Source organism: Homo sapiens, chromosome 7 (assembly GCF_000001405.40).
Source record: "Homo sapiens chromosome 7, GRCh38.p14 Primary Assembly".
Lineage (NCBI taxonomy): Eukaryota > Metazoa > Chordata > Mammalia > Primates > Hominidae > Homo > Homo sapiens.
In genome coordinates this window covers 27385830-27411444 of record NC_000007.14, presented here as the reverse complement: position 1 = coordinate 27411444, position 25615 = coordinate 27385830, and the positions used below count along the sequence as shown (strand labels likewise).

The 25615-nt window shown below is 42.5% G+C and overlaps 1 long non-coding RNA gene across 2 annotated transcripts; it reads right to left on the bottom strand.

Moving 5' to 3' along the window:
• Nucleotides 1–964: 964 nt before the first annotated feature.
• LOC105375207 (uncharacterized) lies at nucleotides 965–23677 on the bottom strand. 2 transcript variants are annotated; one of them, XR_001745153.1, is made up of 4 exons: nucleotides 23217–23677; nucleotides 7120–7240; nucleotides 2487–2636; nucleotides 965–1524 (listed from the first exon to the last, which is right to left on the bottom strand). It is a non-coding gene; the product is annotated as an uncharacterized LOC105375207 (long non-coding RNA). The 2 variants fall into 2 exon arrangements; XR_007060266.1 differs by lacking the exons at nucleotides 965–1524; nucleotides 23217–23677 and having other exon boundaries at nucleotides 2318–2636; nucleotides 7120–7488.
• Between the last annotated feature and the right edge of the window lie 1938 nt (nucleotides 23678–25615).

Sequence of the window (25615 nt, the reverse complement as noted above, 5' to 3'; positions counted from 1 at the left end):
CGGTCCCCAGGATACCGGTACAACTAATGCTACCTGACAAGTAGCAGGTTGGAGCCTAATGAATGGCTGGGAGGAGGAGGAGGAGAAACATTTGCTTCCGGGGAGGAGGGGAGCTCATTAGTGGCCTAGTTGCTCAGCTGGCTCAGGTTCTTGTTTCAAACAGACCCCTGCACTGCTGGGCGTCTTTCTGGAAACAAACAACCCTACTGTAGCTTTGGGGTTCCATGGCTTTTTGTGTTTTTTTCTTCAGCTGAGGTGAAATTCACATGACTTAAAACCAGTTTAATTTTAAGTGGACCATTCAGTGGCATTTAGTGCATTCACAGTGGTGTGCAACCATCACCTCTATCTAGTTTCAAAACATTTAATCAACCCAAAAGGAAACTGCATACCCATTAAGCAGTCACTCCTCATTCCCCTCTCCCCACCCAGGCCCCAGGCAACCACTGATCTACTTTCTGTCTCTCTGGATTTATTTATTCTGGATAGCTCCTATAAATGGAATCATGTAGTATGTGACCTTTTCGTATCTGACTTCTTTCACTTAGCTTAATGTTTTTGAGGTTCATCACATTGTAGCCTGTGTCAGTGGTTCATTCCATTTTATTCCTGAGTAATATTCTACTGTATGTATGTACCACCAGTGTTCATCCATTCATCCAATTGTGGGCATTTGAAATGTCTCCACCTTGCTATTGTGAATAATGCTGCTATGAACATGTGTGTACATGCATTTAAGTACTTGTTTTCAGTTTTCTGGAGTATATACCTGGGAGTGGAATTGCTGGGCCACATGGTAATTCTGTATTTAACTTTTTGAGGAACTACCAACCTGTTTTCCACAGCAACTGAGTTGTTTACATTCCCACCATCAGTGTATAAGGATTCCAGTTTCTCCACAACCTACCTAACACTTGCTATTTTCCTTTAAAAAAAGAAAAAAAGGCATAGCCATCTATGGGTGTGCAGTGGCATCCCACTGTGGTGTTGAGCTGCATTTCCCTAATGTTGGAGATGTTGAGCATCTTTTCATTTGCTTATTGGTCATTTGTATATCTGCTTTGAAGAAATTCTCTATTCAAGCTCTTTGCCCACTTTCAAATTGGGTGGTCTGTATTTTCATTGTTATTATAGAAGAGAAAGTACATACTAGGGGACATAAAACTCAGTCCCTAACATTAGAAGTCCAGCTTGATTAACTATTGGAGTAGTAGTCTAAGCAGTGTTGCTGACGTTGGGAAAACATCAACGTCATTTTCACCCGGTAGTTACTTTTCCCACTACTAAATGGGTCTCCCTTATGTTCTCTTCATACTGGGCTACTCGGGAAGGAGGACAAAGCTTGGTACTAAGATAAGTCATTCAGGAAAGGAATTACGTAAGCACAGGGAAAGGGAGAAGAGAGGAAGTCACTGGTGATCAATTTTAAGGAGCACATGCATGATGAGGTAATAGAAGGAAGCCCAGTGTGTTTGCATCAGTGTCTGTTTACTGTGGAAGATTTTTATGGGCAGAGATTTCCATCTGAAAGACAAACCAACAACAACAAAAATCAAGCAGATGTGGGGTGGTTTTTTTGGTATTTTATAGGTTTTAAAGTGCTTTTACTTAATGACTCATTGAGTTTTTATAACAGCCTTAAATACCAGGAATGGCAGATAATGCTACCTCTATTTTGCTTCCATGATAAGACAGAGTCACAGAGATTAGGAAGTCTTTTAATTATCAGGTGGCAGAGGCAGGATTCAAACTCAATCCCCACCCCCATGCTCCACCACCATCTTGTATTTATTCACTGAAGGACTTTCCCATAATGCTCTTTTCCAATCATGTGCACAAATGGAGCTACTGGGTCAGAGCACTTGAAGCCTGCCGCACCCTCCAGGAAGGCCTAGAGGTCCTACCTTTGGGCTTCCCATCTTTCCAGACCTGCAATTAAACTCTAAAGTCTTGGAAGCCTCCTGTATTGCCAGCCCCACTTGTCTGTGTTTCCAGCCTGCTGCGAGGGTAGTATGGACAATGAGGCAGCAAGCCAGGGGAAGAGGGATACTGGAGTGAGGGAGGCCGGTGAATATGCTGTGGGGAGCCTCTGTGCCCTATTGGACAAAATGGGAGTTCCTAGCCCTGGATTCTTGTGAAAGTCGTTACCCGGGGCCCTAGCCAGGGCTTGCAGCCAGTGCAGTAGAAAAGTCAGAGATGCCCACATGCACATCCTGGCGATTCTCCCTTAAGAAAGTCCATTCTCCATCTTGGGAGACCACCTTAGAGAGGCACAGTTTATGCCTTGTATTTGCTGCATAAACGAAATGCAATAAAACACCTTATCTAATTTTATTATTTTTATAATTATTGTTTTTCCAATAAGTTGGTGAAGGTTTTGACAACAATAACAGGAGGTTATGAACTGTGGTTTCTTATCTGGGGGCCAACATTGCTTCCAGGAAAAGACAAGAAATTTGAAGGCAGAAGTTCCACCACTAACTGACCTTATAGTTTTGGGCAAGTCATTTAAGGCTCACTGAGCCTCAGTTTCCTCATCTGAGAAATGGGAGCTAATGGTCACAACAGCAATAGCACACATCTCTTGAAAAGTTCATGGATCAAATAAAAAAACAGGTAGGAAATTGCTTCATAATCTGTAAAAAGATATAAAAATAGTAAATATTATTATAGGATAAACTTAGCCTTTAAATATCAGGCCAACACAAGGTTAGGAGGGAATATAAGAGTGAGAGAGAAGTTCAAGGGCAGCCATCAGACTACTGCCTGGGCTTCAGTCCTGATTTGCTGACATATCTTCCTTCTGGAAGGGTTTGATGTCATCATGGGTGAGAATTATTTGGATGAGAGATAGCAACTGATAACCTCATCTCCCTATATTGCTGCAAAACACAAAGTTTTCCAAAGTACTCCACTCAAATTTTCACAAAAATATCATCCCTGTAAAGGCCAGGAAAGGCTCTTTTTTGCTGTTGATAGTAGTAAAGGCTTATTTGTTCATTCCCAGGCAAATAGATTTAGGGCTCCTGGTAATTTTAAGATATAAAAAAATTTAAAGGGACAAAAACATAGAGCATGGGAAAACCAGCTATTGTAGAAATCACAGCAATTTGAAAAACAATTTTTCCCATCTAGGGGTTTCTGTTACACAGTTGTCTTTCATATTATTTTTAGTATGTATTTTTAAGCTGTTTTCTCAGCAATTTTGGTTCCTATCAAGCTCTAGGCCTATACTTATTTTAAGCAGTTCTGAAAACAAGGCCTCTATTAAGATATTTGAAAAGAAGGGAACACAGACCAAACTGTGAACAGTGGTTACCTCTGAGAGGGGTTGGAGTGGAACTGGGAAGGTGGGGAATCCATTGCTTCTTGACTCTCTTACAGTGAGCATGTCATGTAGTCAAATTGCAAATATGCATACATATATTACAATAATAAAAATAGAAATTGTTTCAGCAAATACTCTATTTGTCTAGATAAATCCTCATATAACCTGGAAAAATATTAACTTAGGAACCTCATGTCATTTCTCCAGCCCCTCTTCATGCCTTCACCTCTCCTCCCCTGCAACACATTGAATTGACAAGTCATTGCCAATTATTGAAAATTTGGGAGAGGAAATAAAGTTCAATTTTGGTACAAGCAGCTATATTGACAAACCTAAAAACAGAAGTCCCTAGACTATATACTCCTCAAAAGCAGAGCCTTTGTATGTTATTCTTTAAATCATTAATTCAACTATTCCATACATGTCTACTGAGTGCCAGGTACTGCTCTACATACAGAAGTGCAGCAGCTAACAGATAAAACTCTCTGCCCGCAATTAACTTACTTTCTAGTACTGATACACAGTCTTAACAAAAATTTGTTGAATAAGTGAATTTGTTAAGCAATTCTTGAGCATTTACTATGGCCCAGGGATTATTTTAAGCATTGAGGTCACAGCAGTGAATTTGACACAGCTTATATTCTAGGGAGGGGAAGCCAGACAAAAGCCAAATAAGTCAATGCGGAGATGTCAGATGGTAAATTGTATGCAGCTTGGCTCTTGGTGCTGATACCACTTCCTGCCTATACAACTACAGCTTCACAAATGGGAAAATCTCAGACCTTCCATGCTGCCTGCCAGTAAAGACCTAAAGTTACCAAGTCCAGTAACTTTAGGTCTTTGAATGTATCATGGCAAATGGAACTAAAATTCCATTGACATCATATGTGGCCCTGGGTCAAATCTTCCCATTCTTCCGCCCAGTCCTCCCACAAAGGTAGCTTGCCTAAGATGATGTCAGGCAATATATTAGTTTTCGATTGCTGATGTAATAAATTACCAGGAAATTGTTGGCTTAAACAATGCAAACTTATTCTTACAGTTCTGGAGGTTGGAAGGACAAAATAGGTCTAATGGGGCTAAAATCGAGGTGTTGGCAGGATTTGTTCCTTCCGGAGACTCTAGGAGAGAATGCCTTTCCTTTCCTCATCCAGCTCCTAGAGGCTGCTCCCTGGACTCCTGGCCCCTTCCTCCGTCTTCAATGTCTGCAACATCCAGCCGAGTCCTTCTTACCGGCCTTCCCTCTGCTTCTCCTCCACTGCCTCCCTCTTCTGCTTTTAAGGACCTTTGTGCTTACGTTGGATGCATGTGGATAACCCAGGACACTCTCCCACTTCAAGGTCAGCTAATAACAACCATAATCCTATCTGCAACCTTAATTCCTCTTTGCCACACAGCCTAACACATCCACAGGTTCTGGGATTCAAACGTGGCCGTCTTTGGGAAGGAGATGGGGATTATTCTGCATACCATGAGCAGGCTAGAAAGGAAGGACCTGCTTTTTGTGCTTCAATCCCCATCCCCAATTTTTGGGACTGTGTTGAACAACTAGGACGTGACTAGTTTATACATGATGATGGTAAACAGAACAGAAAATGCTACACCTTCCAGACATCAGGAACACAGAGCTTGCACTTACTTGTGGCGCCACATCACCTTTCCCTGGACATCAGCTGTAGGAGGCACCAAGTCCAGTAACTCTCAAAAAAAAATTTTTTTTCAAAAACTTCTTGCAAAAAGGTCTTTTATCACCTGCTACTTTTTTTCATAACTGCTTAATATCAGGAAGATTCCTTCCAGCAGCAAGCTCACGTATCATATCTTAATATTCTTCCCCTCTGCATGGCACTTTCTAGAGCACTTCCACATTCTCTCGCTTGACCCTCATGAAAACTCTGTGAAAGGAGAAGCAGGAAGTACACTGTCTGCATTTAGCAGTGAGGAAACTGGACTTAAGGTGGCAGGGATGACCTGTCCAAGATTATGAAGCCAGGACGTGGACCAGGTCTTCTGACGCCAGTGCCTATACTCTCTCCATGACAACATGTTCTCTCCAACATGCATTTCTCTTGGTTTAGTACTCTGGAGTCCCGGGCCAAGTTCCATTTGCACCACACAATCATTATCACCATCATCAGCATCATCACCACCATCGTCATCATCATTTCGACGAATTTCCTCAAAGTTATTCATCGGCAGAAATCTCCTTCAACTGTCAGTAACCACTTTTAGTTCTGTCTGTGAGGGGAAACCATGGCTGTGCGAATACCCTCATTTTCTGATTCAAGCCATCAATATGCCAAGAAATCAGTAATTCTGATCTCCATTTCTATGAGTGATCCTTTATTAAACGTTCTCCTTGGTGACACCCAGACTCAGTCCTCAAATGGCTGAAAAAAAATTAGAAGGTTCCCCCATCAAGATCACCAATACCAGCCAGGTGCAGTGGCTCACGCCTGTATCGCAGCACTTTGGGAGGCCAAGGCAGGTGGATCACCTGAGGTCAGGGGTTCAAGACCAGCCTGACCAACATGGCAAAACCCTGTCTCTACTAAAAATACAAAAATTAGCTGGGCATGGTGGCGGATGCCTGTAATGCCAGCTACTCAGGAGGCTGAGGCAGGAGAATCGCTTGAACCTGGGAGGCAGAGGTTGCAGTGAGCCGAGATCCCGCCACTGCACTCCAGCCTGGGCAACAAGAGCAAAACTCTGTCTCAAAAAAAAAAAAAAGGTCATCAATAAAAGTCACCAATACTACCAGCCTCAACATGCATCCCTGGCATGACTCTTCCAATGATAATGATCTATGGCTGCAAAAAAGGCACCCCAAACTCAGTGGCTGGAAACAACCACCATTTTATGTGCTCATAATTCTGCAATCTGAGCAGCATTCAGTTGGGTGATCCTTCTGTCAGTCTTGCTGCGGGCTGCTCATGTGAGAATGAGAATGGAAAAGGCAAATAGTGTCTTGGAATTATTAAAAAATAGTTTTGACCTTACACACCACCTAAAAGGGTCTCTGGGACCAACCCTCAAAGGGTCCCTGGAACACACTTTGAGGACCTATCCTTCCTATTTTTGGTTCTCCATTTTGAGATTGGACCATGGCTTGTTTGGGAAGAGGAACACCAGCTAGTTCTAGGGAAACTCTCTAAAGTCCTAGGGGTGCTGGGTAACTTTCATCATTGACAACGGTGATGAGGAGTAAGTCAGTGCCCAGCTTGCTCTGAGAGCACTAAACTGGGTTTCTAATCTCTGGAGCTCTTCAGCCTCTCACAGTTCTCTGATGTGCAGACTCCAGCTAAGGCACTACGTCCAAGGCAGAATTCCTATCGTTTTGTTTCAAAGTATGTGGGATTTGTTTTGGGTCAATTTTTTTCTCATCAGAATTTAAAATTTCCACCATCCAGCCTGAGCCTTGCTCCGTATTAGATCTTCCATGACATGTGCCATATTTTCAAACTGTCTCTCACGGCATCGTCGTTCCATTTATTAACAGAGGAGGGATTGGGCCATGCAGCTCTTATTAAAACCCATGGCAGTCACACTGCTTTGAAAATTTAGTGGTTAGCTAATATAAAAGTCATAAAAGGTTTGGGGTTCTGAGGGCTTCCATAAACTCTGAATTTTAGGTGCCCTGAGATGCAATTTCTGAGCAATTTCTTTGATCTCTGGCTGCCCTGGTAAATCATTTATTAGGGTAACCTTTTTAAACAGAACCTTCTCAACCTCTCCCACAAGATACATAAAATAATGTACTCTGCAAGCAGTCATCAACTCCCTGCACTTACTGTATTCGCTGATTACAAACCGATGGAGATGTTAGAAGTTTTTTCAACCAATTCTTCTTATTCTCAGAAATTTGCAGAAGAGACAGTGATGATGTGCCACATGATGCCAGACTGCAACTACCTGAAATTTCCAGAATGGGACATGCCACACTAAGAATATTTCAGCAGTATTTGTTTTTTTTTACAGACTAAGATATTTACAACTAATAAAGTTCAAAGTTTTACTGGGTCAATCTCCAAGTCAGCTTGGTCACATCATTTTCTTGCAGCATCTTGCATTTTCACTCCCCTTTTTCCCTGATCACTGCAAGGCCTGTCCTCCCATTCTGTCTGCCATGATTTTTAGGGATTCCAAAGTGGAGAGAAGAATAGTCACATGCCTACAGCCACAGCCACCTTCCCTCCCACCCCACCACCCACACTTGCCTCCCTGCTTTGTCTGAGGACTTCAGAGAAGTCAAAAGTAGCTGACATCAGGAAAAAGTTCAGAGATTTCTGGCTTAGAAAAATGTGTCACATCACTTACCAACGAACTGTTCAACATGACGTGAGAAGAGATTTTTGGGGGAGAAGTCCTGGTGAAGGTTTGGAAACAACACATTTTCAACTCTCCATCACCGTTATATTCAAGGCCAAAAGTTCCAGTTTTGTGGATTAAGAAAAACATTGGAGGCTGGGCACGATGTCTCATGCCTGTAATCCCAGCACTTTGGAGGCTGAGATGGGAGGACCACTTGAGACCAGGAGTTTGAGACCAGCCTGGGCAACATAGCAAGACCCTATCTCTAAAAAAAGTGTATATTTTTAACTTAGTTGGGTGTTGTGGCACAAACCTGTAGTCCTAGCTACTTAAGAGGCTGAGGCAGGAGGCTGCAGTGAGCTATCATGGCCACAGTACTGCAGCTTGGGCAGCAGAGTGAGACCCTGTCTCCAAAAAAAAAAAAAAGAATGAACAAAAGAAAAACCTTGTTTAAGTCACCCTGAAAAAGAGTGACTCTCATGATCAATTTAAGTAGCAATTCATGTCTCAAAATGAGGGAGAAAAACCGATTCCCAAATTTGTAAATGTTGGAGAAGGAAAGACCTTTCTAAGCAAGGCAAGGAGCCATCATGGAAGCCATAAAGAAAAAGATGGATAAATTTAGTTACATGGAAACAATGTGTGCAGCATGGCCATGTGCCTGCCTTAGCTGCTGTGCATGTGAACCTGATGAATTCCGGGTCACTTCCCCTGCGTCCATTCATTCAACAGAGGTTTGTAAATACCAGGGGGCTGGAAAGCGTGGTGGTAAAGACCACAGATGCTAGAATCAAACAGGCTCTACCACATATAATCTGTGACTTCAGGCAGGTCACCCAATTTCTTTGTGCCTCAGTTTTCTCACCTGGAAAATGGAACTGATAATAATGACATTCTTACAGGGTGTTTGTGAAGATTAAGATAATACAGGAAAAGTACTCGAAACAATGTCTAGCACATAATAAAATCACAATAATGGTAGTTTTCATCATCATCACTATTACCCTGTATTAGACGCTGGTGTGAACTGAATTGTGTTCCCTCCAAAATTCATATGTTGAAGCCCTAACCCCCAGTACCTTAGGATGTGCCTGTATTTGGAGACAAAGTCTTTAAAGAGGGGATCAAGTTAAAATGAGGTCATTAGAGTGGGCCCTAATCCAATATGACTGGGACTTATATGTCCTTACAAGAAGAGGTGATTAGGACACAGATGCATAAAGAAGACCATGTGGGCCCAGTGCGGTGGCTCACGCCTATCATCCCAACACTCTGGGAGGCCGAGGTGGGTGGATCACTTGAGGTCAGGGGTTCGAAACCAGCCTGGCCAACATTGTGAAACCCCATCTCTACTAAAAATACAAAAAAATTAGCCGTGTGTGGTGGCGGGTGCCTGTAATCCCAGCTAATTGGGAGGCAGAAGCAGGAGAATTGCCTGAACCCGGGAGGCAGAGGTTGCAGTGAGCCAAGATTGCGCCACTATACTCCAGCCTGGGCGACAGAGACTGTGTTTCAAAAAAAAAAAGAAGACCATGTGAAGACACTGGAAGACAACAGCCATCTGCAAACCAAGGAGAGAAGCCTCAGAAGGAAGGAACAACACTGCTGACACCCTGATCTTGGATTTCTTCTAGTTTCCAGAATCTTAAGAAAATAAATTTCTGTTGTTCAAGCCACCCAGTCTGTGATGCTTTGCATGGCAGCCCTAACAAACTAATACAGATGCCTGCTGTGTGCCTGATGGCTCCCCAGGCACTGGATGTACACTGATGAAGATGACAGCCCAAGACCCTGCTCTTCTGGAGGTCGAAGTCTGGTAGAGATCAATAATGAACACACAAGCACACCTAGGAACAACATAATTTCAAGAAATGATGGGTGCTATGAAGAAAATAGTAATGGTGTCATAAAGGGAGTAGCGTGTATTTAGACTGTATGGTTGGAAGGACCCCTCACAGAGTGACAGGAGGAAGCCAGCATGGGAACACTGGATCCATAGCATTCTGGGTAGAAGGAGCCTGCTTGATCTGTTTGAGGAACTAAGAGGTGGCCATTGTGGCTGGAGGGCTATGAGAGAGGGAGAGGGGCTGGAGAGGAACAGGGCCAGGTCACATAGGGCCGGTAGGCCAAGGAAAGACCTTGGATTCATATTTTAAAAGCTCACTCTTCTGGGAGGGGAATGAATGAGGGGCTGGAGTAGCAGCTGGGAAAGCAATCAGAAAGATGGAGACCTTGGACTGCGGGATGGGGCAGAGACAGAAAGAACAGGGATAGAGGCTTGCAGGACTTGCTGGTGGCTTTAATACCAAGTGGGAGCAGGGGAATATCAGAGGGGATTAAAAAGGTGCTAGGCCCAGTTAGAATGGCGATCATTAAAAAGTCAGGAAACAACAGGTGCTGGAGAGGATGTGGAGAAATAGAAACACTTTTATACTGTTGGTGGGACTATAAACTAGTTCAACCATTGTGGAAGACAGTGTGGTGATCCCTCAAGGATCTAGAACTAGAAATACCATTTGACCCAGCCATCCCATTATTGGGTATATACCCAAAGGATTATACATCATGCTGCTATAAAGACACATGCACACATATATTTATTGCGGCACTATTCACAATAGCAAAAACTTGGAACCAACCCAAATGTCCAACAATGATAGACTGGATTAAGAAAATGTGGCACATATACACCATGGAATACTATGCAGCCATAAAAAAGGATGAGTTCATGTCCTTTGTAGGGACATGGATGAAGCTGGAAACCATCATTCTGGGCAAACTGTCTCAAGGACAGAAAACCAAACACTGCATGTTCTCACTCATAGGTGGGAATTGAACAATGAGAACACTTGGACACAGGGTAGGGAGCATCACACACTGGGGCCTGTTGTGAGGTGGGGGGAGGGGGGAGGGATCCCATTGGGAGATATACCTAATGTAAATGACGAGTTAATGGGTGCAGCACACCAACATGGCAGATATATACATATGTAACAAACCTGCATGTTGTGCACATGTACCCTAGAACTTAAAAAAAAAAAAATGCTAGGCATTTTCATGAAATAGCTGCATGAAAGGTAATTCCATTTGCTGGTTTGGGGAAGACCACAGGGGCTGAGGGACTGGGGAGCAGGCCAAGGGTGGGATTTAGAGCCACATCGTGGCCAGACCATGACTGAGGTGCCTCTTATACATGCCAGTTGGAATGTCAGGGAGTTAGAGCTCAGGGAGATGGTGGGTGGGGATACATATTTGTGATTCAGCTGCGAAGACAGGCGGGACCACTGAGGAAAGCACCAGAACAGAATGCCTGGGACTGGGATGAGGTCCTCTTTAGAGCATGAGAGGAGAAAACTAAGAAAGGTCATCAAAGAGGTAGGAGGAAAAGCAGAAGTGCACGTCCCGGAAGTCAAGAGGAAATGAGAGGAATGACCACACTCACGGACTAGCGATAATAAGTGTGTCTGGGAATGAATGTGCATTCGAGGATGGCCTCCACACATGTGCGTGTGCACAATCGTGGGGCTGTCTGTTGGTGTACACAGTTACAGAGTCCAGTGCTTCTAGGGTTCGAGGCTCTCTTTTAAATTACATTTTACACATCAGTAAACTTGTAATGCAGGAAGTGCTTTCTTAGGGTTATTTATATCCCTGGGTTGCAGAAGGATTTGTCAGGAAATAATATGAATGTTATTTATCTGACTGTTGAGCTTTATTGACTGCTACATTTCACATCCTTCAGTTCTTTTTGGCAGAGGAGTAAATAACACTGCTATTAACCTCTAACACCAGTATAAAAATAGGCAGTTATTAAGGGGTAAATATTACTTTGACGATTATTGCCCCAGTCTGCTTTCTCTGGGAGAGGTAATAAATAAGGCCTCTCATGGGGTCCACAAACTTCCCAATTTTGTTGAGGGAGCTGGCAGTGCTTGTGGCCATGGGCTGTGACTTGGAGCCATGTGGAGCCTGTAGAAAATGCTTGAAGAGCTATTGCTCATTTCTGGAGGAAATAAAGCCAGCATTAATGCCCTGCCATGGCTGGGCATGCAGGAGCTGAAGGTATTAGGTCCTAAGGTTTCCACAAGGAGAGAATCAGAGACGGCTGAGACGCCTGTTAGGAGTGAGGCTGCGGAATAAAAGGGAGCCAGGCTCGGGAGCAGGTGAGTCTGTAAAAGCCCAGGGTTGTTACATGAACCTGCTGCTGGGCCCACACTGTGGCTAGAGAAGCTTTGTGCCCAGGGTTTCACCATGGTCATTTTTTAGTGATGAACAGGTTAACTGGCAGGTTAACCCCAGGGAGTTGCCCCATTTTGGAGGTGGGAGATGAAGAGTTATGGTAGCAGGTACAGAAAGAGTCTTGCACTAGAAGCCAAGAGCACTACAGTCTCAACTCTAACCTTTACTTGTGTTATGGTCCTGGGCAAGTTATTTGCCTTCTCATGCATAATAAATGAGGGAGTTGATGTACATGGTTTTCTAAGATCTCTCCAGTCCAGAAATACTTTGTTAATAACCTGGTTAAGTCTAGTTCCATGCACCCACCAGGTGTAGGGAAAAAAACTAGTGAACAGTGAACCAATGCCTAGTGATCTCTGCCCATACAGTGGACATGATTGTGTTCTTCAGCCAGTGACTCCCTCATTGATCTATCAGAAGCCCCAGCAGTAGTGGCACCCACGTGCTCAAGCTGGCCCCAGGCTGTAACTTGAACGGAGATCTCTTGGCTTTTCTTTGCAGCTCTGCCAGGGGCTGCTGTAACATCGGAAATCCTTAAACACTGTTTGCTCCAAGACTAAATTTTCTTGGCTCAAGATGGTTTTTGGCCTTACTGTATCCTCTCATTACACATGTAAAAACCTAGATAATTTTTTCCTTGTAAAGCTGTTAAATCTAGACCTCATGATTTAAAAATAGTTGGAATGTTTCATGCAGAATGAGAGGAAGGCCTGCTTCATACTGTGCAGGAGATTGACTTCTGAAGAGCTGCCTTCACATGAATGCATTCTAGGAACCCACTATCTAATGAAAGCTTTGTAAAATGAAACATCCAGCATTAATTTAATTTGTGTGTTTGGGAAGTTTGGGTTTTCACATATTGGCAATGTGGAGGCGGTGATTTGCAGTAAGGCACATCTCTGCTTTTCTACATCTAAACTGTGCTAAACTTACCAATTGGGGTGTTGCTTAAGCTGTTTGTCTCTTTAAACAAAACCTTTGAGGATGTGAACAACGTGGCATCTCCATTCTACTCCGAAAGCATGCAATACTTAGTCGAGAGAGTTGTATTTATGAAACAACAGAAATACACACAAAAGAGTGAAATAGATAATATGATAGGCCCATTTGTTATAAATGGCAGCAGAATGGTTTGGAAATTCTGGCCTCATTTAAATTTTCCTGGAATTTACTATTTTATACTGCAGAGCTGGGTGCAGTGGCTTATGCCTGTAATCCCAGCACTTTGGGAAGCCAAGGCAAGAGGATTCCTTGAGGCCAGAATTCCTTGAGTTCAAGACCAACCTGGGAAACATAGTGAGACCTCATCTTTACAAGGAAAAAAAAAATTAGCCAGGCATGGTGGCACCTACCTGTAGTCCCAGCTACTATGGAGGCTGAGGTGGGAGTATTGCTTGAGCCCAGGAGTTTGAGTCTGCAGTGAGCCATGATCATACCACTACACTCTAGTCTGAGTGACAGAGCACGATCCTGTCTTAAAATATACACACACACACTGCAGTATGTTAATAGACACTGTGCCAGTATTTTCTGAAGGCTGTATATTACTGCATATGGACATTTTAAATCATTATGAGGGCCACTTTAACTGTTAGTAGCTCCTCAAATAACACAACAAAAATATGCATTTTGGCAAAGAAAAAGATAATTGTGTGTTTAACAATAACATAGGGTGTAGACACATGCCACGTCTATGTGTCCATCTTGCACACACATGATGGGAATGGAAAAAATGGAGAGAGGAAACAGAGTACCTGGAAACATGATGAGAAGAGTTTATAGAGAGATTGGTTCAGCAGACGGAGGTGGGGTGCTCCCTTAACCACAGAAACCTTTACTGATGAGGTTTCTGCACCTAACTGAGGTTTCTGCCCAGTCACATCATGTCCATTGTAGGATGAGATACGCCATCTGTGAAGGCCATCTGAGAAGGTCCTAAGGCCCTGTACTAACATACTGCAAGCAAGTCCAGCCCTCCCTGCATAGATACAACCCATTGATCAGAGTCCCAGGCAGTGTTCCCACTGCTGTGGAGACTGTGGCTACAGAGGTCCTTGGCATGAATTTCCCCGGAGAACTCTTTTCCTCCTGTCTCCACATACTCCCTTTTCTACTAGGCTTGTCCTCTTCTTTCCAGCAACAAAACGAAACTTGGTATGGCTATGGTTCCTATGTGAAAATGAGCAGGGATTCAGACAAGGCTGTTGCCTTGGTAGGGTGGGCCCCCTGAATTTTTTTTACTGTGAGCCATGAAGACCTTCCAGAGAGAACTCATTATAAGGGATGATGAAACCTAACACCCTGAGCTATAAGAGCTGCTTGGGACCAGTGATTCTGAGGACAGGATGGTGTCTTTTAGCTAGAGTCGTCTCCTGGCTGTCCCCCATTGGAATCGTTGTGGGTCTGGTGTAGGGCTGGGGTTTGCTGTCACAGTACAAGGTAACAAGGCTAATCAAGACAAGAGAGAGAAATGATTATGGGGCAGTTAACTGGACATGCATGTGACATACCCCTAAGAACTATGACACGACTATTGGACATATTTACAGCACTCTCTTTCCATGAGTGGGGACAGGAGTGTGGTACACCTGTGAGAACTGGCTCAAATGAGAGCTGGTGGCATCTGAGTTGTTATTGTTGTGTAATTCAATTTGTACTTCAGGATGAGAAGCCCTGGAAAAATCAAGGCCCCACTGTCCAATCAGAGGCTCCCCAGGATGCACCGTGCACATGGTTTAAAACCAACATCATTTCCACCATGTGGTCTTGGGTTGGCAACATCACCACCACCTGAGTTCCCATTAGACATGCAGACTCTCAGACCGCACCTCAGACCTACTGAGTCAGAACCTCCACTTAAGAGACCCCCTGAGCTTCCTCTGCACATCCAAGTTTGAGGGGCGCTACTCCATAGCAGTGGTCCTCAGTGTTGGCCACACAGCAGAACAACCCTGGGAGCTTTAAAAACTCCTGATGCCTGGGTCCTATTCCTAGAGGTGTTTGCACTTATGATCCCGAATACAGGTATGTTTTAGCTTATGCAACAGAAATATTTATGAAAAATAATGTGCAATGACATGTTAGTAGCTTGAACCATATTTTCATAGCTATATTAACATTTCAAAAGCCCTTTAAGTCTATTCCTTCTGTTAATATTTTATGTCATATTAACATAAGACATACTTACTATTTTAAGAATCTTTTGTTGTAAAGCACCTATTTATAAAGTAACAGCCCCACCTAACTTTTCCGAGATTAAATTTTCATACACTAGGCTTCTTTGACATGAAGGTTTATCAGACACCTCACACGTATGTTGCATGACCTTGTCACTTTAAGTATCATATTCTCGTATTTAAATCTCAGACCCAGCCATAATAAATTCTCCCCTTCTCCCTGTGTGCCTGAAAATGTCCGTCTGTGACAGCACCTTCTTTATTTGCCAATGTCCCTCTGTTAAAGCACCTTCTTCATTTGCTCTGCCACAAATTGTGTTCTGTGGTCTATTTATTTGCCTCCCACTAGACTTTATGTGCCTTGAGGAGTGACACAATGTGAGCATCTCAATGTCATGTCCATACAAGGTACTCAACAGATGCTTGCTGAGTGCATGATGGGTGGCCAGGTGTGCAAAGGAATGGTGCCAAAGGGAGATGTGGGATGTCCTCAGTGCCTCCACCACCTGGTCAGGGAGGCCACATTGCCCTAGTCGAGCACTGTTGAGAGCCGGGTAAGCAAATCTCCCCCTGCTTCTCCTGCCTGCCCCCTTCTCTCCCTGCTGGACTCCATAGCAGTGGCCCTGCTCCTATGTAGGGGAGCTGCTGTCGTTTACCTGTGGGCACAAGCTTCAGTCTCTGCAGTGCTCCTTGGCTCTCACTCAGGGGCCTGGGTTTTCCTTTTCTATTGTGCAGAGCTGTATTGTCACCTTCTCTCTCCTTTTTGTTTTGGAGAAAAGAAGACAACCCCCTCCTCCAACATTCCATCTTTCCTCAAACATCTCCAAAGAAGGTGTCCAAATAGGGAAGACCCAGCTGAATCAAAATCAATGTGCTAGACAGGATTTGTGGCCACAAAGTCCATGTGGCCAAGACTTCCTCTGATTTGACCAGGCAGAATTAGGTCATCAATCAACGGGGAGTCATCTCAGGACAATGCTGGGATGATGATCAAAACCGCCACTTCGCACAAATTTGATTTTGAAGTTAGTGCTTTGAATGTCTTAACCAATACTTATTGACGGGAGGAGGGAAAGGGAAGGAAAAAGGAAGGAAGAAAGGGTGGAAAGAAGGACAGGAGGGTGGAGAGAGGAGGGGAAGAAGGAAGTTGTTCTTATACTCAGAAAACATTTTTGCCCATGAAACCAAGTGTTGCATTACAAGGAAAAAATTGGAAAATGCCCTGTGGTGGAAAACTATACATGGAGTGATGAGTAGAATAACTTATTCTCTAAATAGCTGACATAACAGAAAATATCACCAAACAGTGTTGCTTTCCGCAAAGAATATGTTTGTATTGGATTACAGAGAGGAGGCTAGAAGAGCAGGGTCATCCTAACCTTCTGGCTTGACTGATGGAATTCAACTTTGCAGTGTGGGAAACAGAAACTCTGATGTCTGTGTTTTTCTTTAATGTCTCATTCTATCATTGGTCCTTTTCTTGTTAATAATTTTTAAAATGTAGTTAACGACTGGATTTTCCATTCGAAATGACATACTTTCCCCTACCTCAAGTGTAGCTTCATTTTTTTGGTTGATGATACAGCCCTTATACAAAACAACAGAGTACTCCCCTTTGCCTTTGCTACGTTAGTGTTTCCTCTTCTACCTCCAAGAGGTATCAGAGGATCAGGCAGAAGCAAGGTTAAAAACCACGCATTGACTGTACATTGAAAAATAAGAGAAATGCCCAAAGAAAAATCTAGAAGTCTTCTAATCAAGGCAGCATGCATCTCTCACATCTACTTCTCCAGGCTGGTGTGTACCACTCCTTGCCCTCTGGTTCCCTCACTCGCTTGTGTGTGACCCTGTGGCAGGACCACAGGAAGTGATGGGTGAACCCAGGGAGCCTTGGGGTACCAGCTTACCTCGGATATGAGGGAGAATTGGAACAGATGTCCCCCATCCACACCTACACCCTGCAATCATTCTGTCAGAGTGCAGGTCTGATGCCATCGTGCTCCCATTCAAGCCTCTGTTGCCCCTCACGTGCCAGCCCTCCATAACATCTCCTCCTGCCCATTCAGCCTCATCCTTCAATGCCTCCTCATCAATGAAGGGCAAGGATCCTTCTCTCAGTTTCTCAAATTCTCCACTCTCTCCCCTGCCTCAAGGCCTTCACTCCTGAGCTTCTGCAGAGGAAGCTCTGCTCTTCTCCAGCTGACTCTAGTTTAAGTGTCACTTCCTGAAGAAAACTTTTCCTAACCCCCAAATTTGGTCAGATACCCCTGCTTTATGTACATATATCACCCTGTACATCTATCTCCCGGTGCTTATGATACTGGAAAGTAATAGATTCATTGGCGAATTCATTTCAACGTATATTTTGCTTACCAGATGGTAAGCTGCGTAAGAGCTGAGCCCATGTTTCTCTTGCTCAGCATTATAAAACCAGCCCAGCACCTCGTGCATAACAGGCACTCAGTAGATATCTGTTGCTGTTGTTGTTGAATAAACAAATAAATAAAGTGGCATTTTGATCCCAATGTTGGTTTCCACAATGGTGCCCATTTCTCAGGATACATCTTAGGCTCTGATCATGTGTGCAGCAGGGAAAAAGCATCTGTGATGGTAACAGAAGATCAGAGCCCTGAAATAAACAGGAGCTTTTGTACACAGCACAAAGGATAAATGTAGTTTTAGAAAGAATCATGGAAAGATATGAAGATGGGGAGAAGTAGACAAGAAATACTAAGTGCAGCAAGTATAAGGAGCACAGCACCCTGGCTCTGTGCCATCGGAGGGCCTCTGAGGAGGACCTGGGTGGGGCCTGCTGGAAGGATGGAGGGGGAAGGAACTCTGGCCAGTGGCAGAGGCACAGCTGGAAGCCTCTGATATTAGCACAACAAATTCATCCATCCAGGTCAGCCCAGGCAAAGTCCAGGGCCAGATTTAGATGCTAGAGAAAAGGTGGACTTTCCTAAGGCCAGGAATAAAGAACTGCTAGCAAGAGAGGAGGCAAGGAAGAAAGTGAACTGTCAGAACTCTGACATTAAAAATAAAATCATAAAGTGAATGTATGTGACTAACAGGCCAGCACTGGAGTCAATGTTAAAAGGCCATTTATTTTTCCATATCACAAAACACAAATTACTAAATTTGCAATATGAATGCTTTATTGTACTCTAAAAATTCTGAATTCTTTAGACTGCTCTTTTCCTGTTCCAAAAAAGCTATTTTAAAAGCTCACATTAGAATATTTTATAACTCTTTTATCCCTCCTGAACATCTGTGAACTGGAAAGAATATAGTATACTACAGAAACAATCCATTTAAAGAAAAACAATTAAAATGAAAACTACTTCCATTTCTGTGGCATAAAACTCTAATTCTCTCTCCTTTGCAATTTTATTACCAACCTGACATGATATAGTCACAGCTTCACTTACACACAATGTTAATTTTACTCATATGCTACTTAATCTTCAAAACATTGCAGAATAACATTTTTCTTTAGTAATTTATCATTTACTAGGATAAGGCAATGTGTTTAGAGGATGTTAGAGTTTTTTAAAAGTTTGCATTTATCTCAGTCCTGAAATGTGCTCTGGGTGCTATTAAAATATATCATTTATACACTTTCACATTTAACTATATTAACTATACCTTAACTAGACATTTATTAAGAGCAGCATATTTATTTCCCATTCAGGACTTTTTAAATCTGCAAAGTCAGCTCTATGGAAATGAACAATTTTTGCCGGCCTTACACTGTGTAATAGGTTAAACTGAGCAGAAACCTTGGGCTCCATTGTAGTGGGATACACAATTGCATATCTTTTCTAAGCTTCCTAAATCATTCTCTCTTGCAGAACTTCTCATCATTCCACCAGCTGCCAGGGATATGTTATGAACTCTAAATAAGTTCATGACAGCTCTCCATTCACTCATTCATTCATCATTTATCAAATATCTTCTACATATAGAGATTGAAAGATGAACACATCTGACTTCAAGATCCTTCTCTTGAGGTGTATAATGAAAGCCTCATTTCCTCTTGCTAATTTTATTTTTACTTATATAAAAATATAACACATGTGCACATAGCTTTGTAAGCTTTCCAAAGGCCAGCACTTTTAAATTTTAGCCATTTATTTGAGTTTTTACCTTCATAGCTTTGAATACTATGTTTCTACTGCTATTTTTTGATTTTTCAGTTTTGTTTTATTTTATTTTGAGACGGAGTCTCGCTCTGTCAGTCAGGCTAGAGTACAGTGGCGCGATCTCAGCTCACTGCAACTTCCACCTCCTGGGTTCAAGCAATTCTCCTGCCTCAGCCTCCCAATTAGCTGGGATTACAGGCATGTGCCACCACACCTGGCTAATCTTTGTATTTTTAGTAGAGACAGGGTTTCACCATGTTGGCCAGGCTGGTCTCGAACTCCTGACCTCAGATGGTCTGCCCGCCTCAGCCTCCCAAAATGCTGGAATTACAGGTGTGAGACACTGCACCCAGCCATGATTTTTCAGTTTTAGATAGCATCCACTGATTCTCAGTTATGGAAGATACCGGTTTTATTTTCTTATACTGTCTCCTCCCCACACACACCAAACACTTGCCCTCCCCTTGAACATCCCAATATATATAGCATTATGATGAATAAGTAAATATTAATCATAGTTAAGCCTTAGTAGTAAAATATAATTCCATTTCCTTTTTCATATAGCTGTTTGCTTTCCCTGGAGATTATAATTGCTTTGTTTTCTCATTTGTATAATTAATGGGACCCTAAATCCTCTGACAGAACTGTAAAATCTCCTCTGGGAACGTTCAAGTACACCAGGTTGTTGCTGCTGCTTCTACTTCTTTAACACCTAGAGAAACGGTTCCTGAAAGTATCATGTTTTCTATTTCTTTAAGACATTAACCTTGGAGTCTTTTGTTCCCCTGCCACCATCTGGACTGGTCGCTCCCTAGGCCTGTTAACCTGTCAGGCTGAGACTTCTCTCTACTCTCATCCTGGAAATGTCCTTTATCTCTCTCCTGTGTTGGATTCCTGTTTCCCCAACCCTAGGTCTTTTTCTTCCTTGACTTCTACCCTGTTTTAGTGGAGTACATCCTCCAGTAGCTTCCTGAGAAGGGTACATGAGAGGCACAAAGTGCCTCCAAATCCTGAGCCTTTCTAGGGAGCTGTGGTACAAATAGCTTGTTTTTAATTGGCTTCTCCCCCATGGGCTTAGGTTTCAGCTTTTCCCAGCATGACAAAATCATCAAGGTGATCAGCCATCAAAATTTTGTTGAAATCTCTTATCTGCTGCAGTCTTCTCTCTAGTTCTTTTAGTCTTTGTGAGTTTAGGCCTTTTATGTTATTTTAGAGGCATTTCTGGAGGGAACGGAGATAAACACATGTGTTCCATTTACCATGTTTAGCCTGCAGTATAGTAATTTCCTTTTACAATACTGGAATTTAGTCCTGCAAATATGACTATTCCTCTAGTCTTTCATTTACTCAAATATAGAGAGAGCACCTACTATATGCCAGGCATGATTCTATACCCTAAAGATACAGCACTAAACAAAAACAACAGAACTCCCTACCCTCATGGAGCTTACACCCTAGAGGAGGGAGGGATGGACAATAAACAAAATAATGACTGAAATATATACCAAGAAAGGACAAAAACATTGAGTGACTTAGGGCAAACCTGAGAAAGTCTGATATTTACCCTAAATTGGGTCTTCTTTGACACAAGGTCTTATTCTGTCATCCAGGCTGGAGCGCAGAGGTGTGATCATGGCTCACTGCAGCCTCGACTTCCTGGCTCAAATGATCCTCCCCGCCTCAGCTACCCAGGTAGCTGGGATTATGGGCACAAGCCACCATATCTAGCTTTACTTTTTATTATTTTTATTTTTTGTAGAGGTGGAGTCTCATTGTATTATTCAAGCTGGTCTCAAACTGCTGGCCTCAAGTGATCCTCCTGCCTCAGTCTCCCAAAATGCTGTATTACAGGCATGAGCCACTGCATCTGGCCTAAAATAGCCTCCATTTCTTATCCTACCCTTTAGTTTTAGTTTGTGCTTGTGCTTCTAATTAGAAACAGGGTGATGGAAACAAACACTGCAATGTTTAGAATGAACACTTCTAACATATTCTCAAGTTGCATTTCCCTGTTCAGTGTATTTTATAATCTTTATTTCATCTGCTAATTATAACAATATAAATCACAGACTGTGAGCCTAGCTTGCAATACAGCTTAATTGAATGTAATATGTTTTCAAAGGAAAAATTCAAATTCATTATAATTTGAAACTCCATTTTTTTTTAAAGGAAAGTCCCAGTTTTCTTAGCACAGGCATATTTACTACAGTATCACTTTGTTCAGTTTCAAAAGCTGAAATTTTAGGAAAACAGGAATGGACGGGAACAGACCTTTCAATGCTAATGTCACCCATTTCTAGCTAGCCAGATGAGGAAAGAAGAAGAAACAGCAGCAACAGTTAGGGGAATTGTGGCCAGAGGTCGACTGAAGCTGCAGAGCCACTACTAAAACAATGGTATGCTAGTGAACATGCAAGAATTTGACAGATGATGCTAAGGGTCAAATAAAAGTGAATTAACACAGGCAGTAAATGATGTAGAGGAACCAGCAGGCAGGGAGAGAGGGAAAAAAATCAACATGGAAAACTTTGAGCAGCAGCAGGCCAGAAAGAGCAAAGGCGGAAAAAGAAAGAAAGAACAGCCAAGGCTCTTGGGACTCTTCCACAGCGATTCCTAAATGTTGAGCTAAAATTGGCTGCTTGGATGAAGTCATCATTACCAGTTCAGTTTAAACCTTTTTATAGAGGAAATTAAGATGTTGTAAAATCATTTAAAATGTTTCTTATATTTCTCTATCCTTTAGTTTTGTTTTGTTTTTGTTTGTTTTTTTAAGAAACTGAGGGTGAAGTTTCATATAAACATGAGTTGAAGAAGTAAAATGGACCTTGGGGAATCACCTGGCCCAGGTCTCCTTTTTTTGTACTTTAGGAATCGAGGTCCAGGTTAAATTGGTGAAGGTGAACACCACACAGTCTTTTCTAGTTATTTGTAGCTCTCCCACTAGACAGGTTGGGTCTGATTCACCAATGGTGTCCCTGCCATCAGCCAGCACTCGCCTAGCCCAGCACAGCTGAAGTGCTCAGTAATATTTTTGTTGAATGAGAAATTGCAACTCACTGTTTCTATTTGGGGTTATTCCTCAATGGCCTGTCTTACAAAGGACTGTCCTATTCCCTCTAACTCATGATTTCTAGCACACGAAGAACTAATGGTTATTAATAGGGGAAGAAATGTATGCAGTGTTACAACTGAAATTTAAGAAAGTCTCTCCTATCAGTCAGAAAGAGAGAGAGCCCTCCAGAGACCATAGCTCCAGAGATCTGTGGCACCCGTCCCCCACCACACACAGGCGGCCCCCAGGGTGCCACAGTGGCCCTTGTGAGAGCTGCTCATCCACAGAGCTGGCCAGTGACTCGTGTAGCTTTAGGTTCATTGCCTTACTTTTCGATGACCACTTTTTCTTCTGTTAACTGGAAGTCCGTGTTTCTAAGTCCTAAGGGGTTATTACGTACACTTAATACAGAGTTTCGAGAGCTGGCAGAGAAACTAACCAAAGTCTCTGATTGAGCACAAATGATGATATAGTATTGGTCAGTACTGTTTTCAATTTGGTCCAGATCTCCCTGCCAATCTTTTGACAGCTAGTAATGCGTTGTGATCAGGAGAAGGCTTAAATATACCAAGTAGCAGATACCCACACATAATCCTGTTGAAGCAGCACAACAATCTTCTAAAATAATGTTACTATACTCTGTCCACATCTAAAGGAATGAAGGCTTGGGCACGATAAGACCTTTCTCAAAAGCATGCAGAAGCTCAGGTTCAAACCAACGGTTCGGTCTGATTCCAGCACCCTTCCTACACTGCGCACATTCCCATTAGCAGAAATTCAGTCAAATTGAAAACATTATCAGGGCCAAGCAGGTGGCTTTGGGGTTGGGAGAAAGATTTACAGACCCTTTGGAAAGGCTGGTCTTTGGAATTGGCAAGATCTGTCCTGAGCTTTTCTTGGCTGTCTCTCTGACCAAATGTATCACTATGTAATCTATACAGCAGTGTTTTAACGGACAGAGCTCTTACCTGTAATAAATTTTCTTCGAACTCGTATGTGCTAAGAAATGCCAATAAACTCAGTTGAAGTAATTTCTTACCCACAGCACATACATTTGCACAGAAGGACCCTAGATCTTATGAACAAGAGAAGAACAGCCCACAATGTCTGCACAGAACAGCCATTACATGCAAAATGGCCATTTGAAAAAGAAACATTTGACCCTTCCATTGATTGAACTTTCCTTCCAAGTGCCCTTCAGAGAGTACTGAGCTGGTTGCCAGGAAACAGAGATTCTTTTCTGGAATCATTTCTCGCCATTCTAAGTGACTTGGAGTGTGTCACTTATTAGAATCTTGGTTCCCAACTTACAATGGGGGTGTTCTTCCTCTCAGGCTTCCTCCACCAAGAAACCTCAAAAGATTAGATTCAGAATATATCTGTAAAGAGTTACAAGATTATGGCCAGGCACAGTGGCTCACGCCTGTAGTCCCAGTACTTTGGGAGGCCAAGGTGGGTGGATCACAAGGTCAGGAGTTCAAGACCAGCCTGACCAATATGGTGAAACCCCGTCTCTACTAAAAACACAAAATTTAGCTGGGCATGGTGGTGCGCACCTGTAGTCTCAGCTACTCAAGAGGCTGAGGCAGAAGAATCACTTGAACCCAGGAGGCGGAGGTTGCAGTGAGCTGAGATCCCACCACTGCACTCCAGCCTGGGCAACAGAGTGAGACTCTGTCTCGAAAAAAAAAAAAAAAAGTTACAAGATTATTATGAACATATGAAACAATGATTTTTTTAAATTGTACATTATAATGGAGCTATTTTCAAATATGTCATTTAAAAGATGCTCAGTGACAGCAATTGAAATTGCTAAAAAATATCATCCACATTGGTTCTATGTAAATGTGAAGCCTCCCTTGTGGTTAACATATGTTTGAGGGAGCCTGGAGTTCTGGAACAAGCTTGGGTGAAGTGATCGAAATTCATTAGCTCTGTGACATCACTCACTAGCTCTGTGATGTAGGGCCAGTGTCTCCACCCGCCAGGGCTCGATTTCCTAACTCGAAGTGAGAGCTTGGGTGAGATAATCTTAAAGGCCCCTTATAACCCTTCTCTTATCCTGTAATTGTGTCACTTCTTTCTGATCACACAAAAGCACACAAAGCCCTTGGCCTCAAGTATTTTATAGTCCAGAGGGGGAGTTAAAGAACAAACAAGTAAACAAATGAATGAGTAGCATCATTACGCACTGTGATAAGTGCCATGAAGAACTGGACTCGTGGTGATGCAGTACAAACAAAGGTGACAGGGATAATAAGGACAGGAAGGTGCAGAGGGCTAGAGGGAGTCTTGCTAATTTGCCTCATTTCTCATAGCAGGGTGTCGAAAAATATTGCTTGAACTTGAAAAAGCAAGAAGGTTTCAATATATTAAAAGTTACTGGGGGCCAGGCACAGTGGCTCACACCTGTAATCCTAGCACTTTGGGAGACCGGATCACTTGTGGTCAGGAGTTTGAAACCAGCTGGCCAACATAGTGAAACCCCATCTCTACTGAAAATACAAAAATTAGCCACACATGGTGGTGCACGCCTGTAATCCCAGCTACTCGAGGGGCTGAGGCAGAAGAATCTCTTAAATCTGGGAGGTGGAAGTTGCGGTGAGCCAAGATCATGCCTCTGCACTCCAGCCTGGGCGACAAGAGTGAGACACCATCTCAAAAAAAAAAAAAAATTTACTGGGGTATCATTAGAATAATAAAAACCAAATGTCAATCTTAAAAACTTGTAGAAGATAAATACATTTACTCAGAGCATAAAGCAATAAAACCTAAGCCATAGAGAAAACAACAAAAAAGGAAGAGTAAAATAGTAAGTTGTTAGATGATAGAACTAAGTTCAGAAATAGTTTAGCAGTACACGTAAATGGGAAACTCCCCTTTTTAAAAGAAAAACACTTTCAGATTGATATAAATCTGAAATAATATATATCTTATCTGAAATAAGATATCTGAATATATATCTTACCTGAAATAAGATATAAATCAGCCACATTACACATTCAAGAAATACATTTATAATAAAATTACTCAGAAAGGTTGCTAGTAAAAGGTAAAGCAAAGACATGGAAATTAGGTGCAAGCAAAAAAATAACAAGGATCATAATATTAAATTCAAGACAAAAAACACACTATACAAATCAAAGATGGACAATTTATAATGGTAAACACAATTTAGTGAATTTTCATGCAGCAAATAGCATTACTTCAAAATCCGTAAAAGAAAAACTGCAATAAAAACAAAGAGAAACAGACAAAAAGGCAACTGTGGTGAGCACTTTTTCAGGCCATGACAGATCAAGTAGACAAAAAAGAATGCCACTGACAACTTAAATCCCATAGTTAATAGGGTGGAGTGTGTGCACAC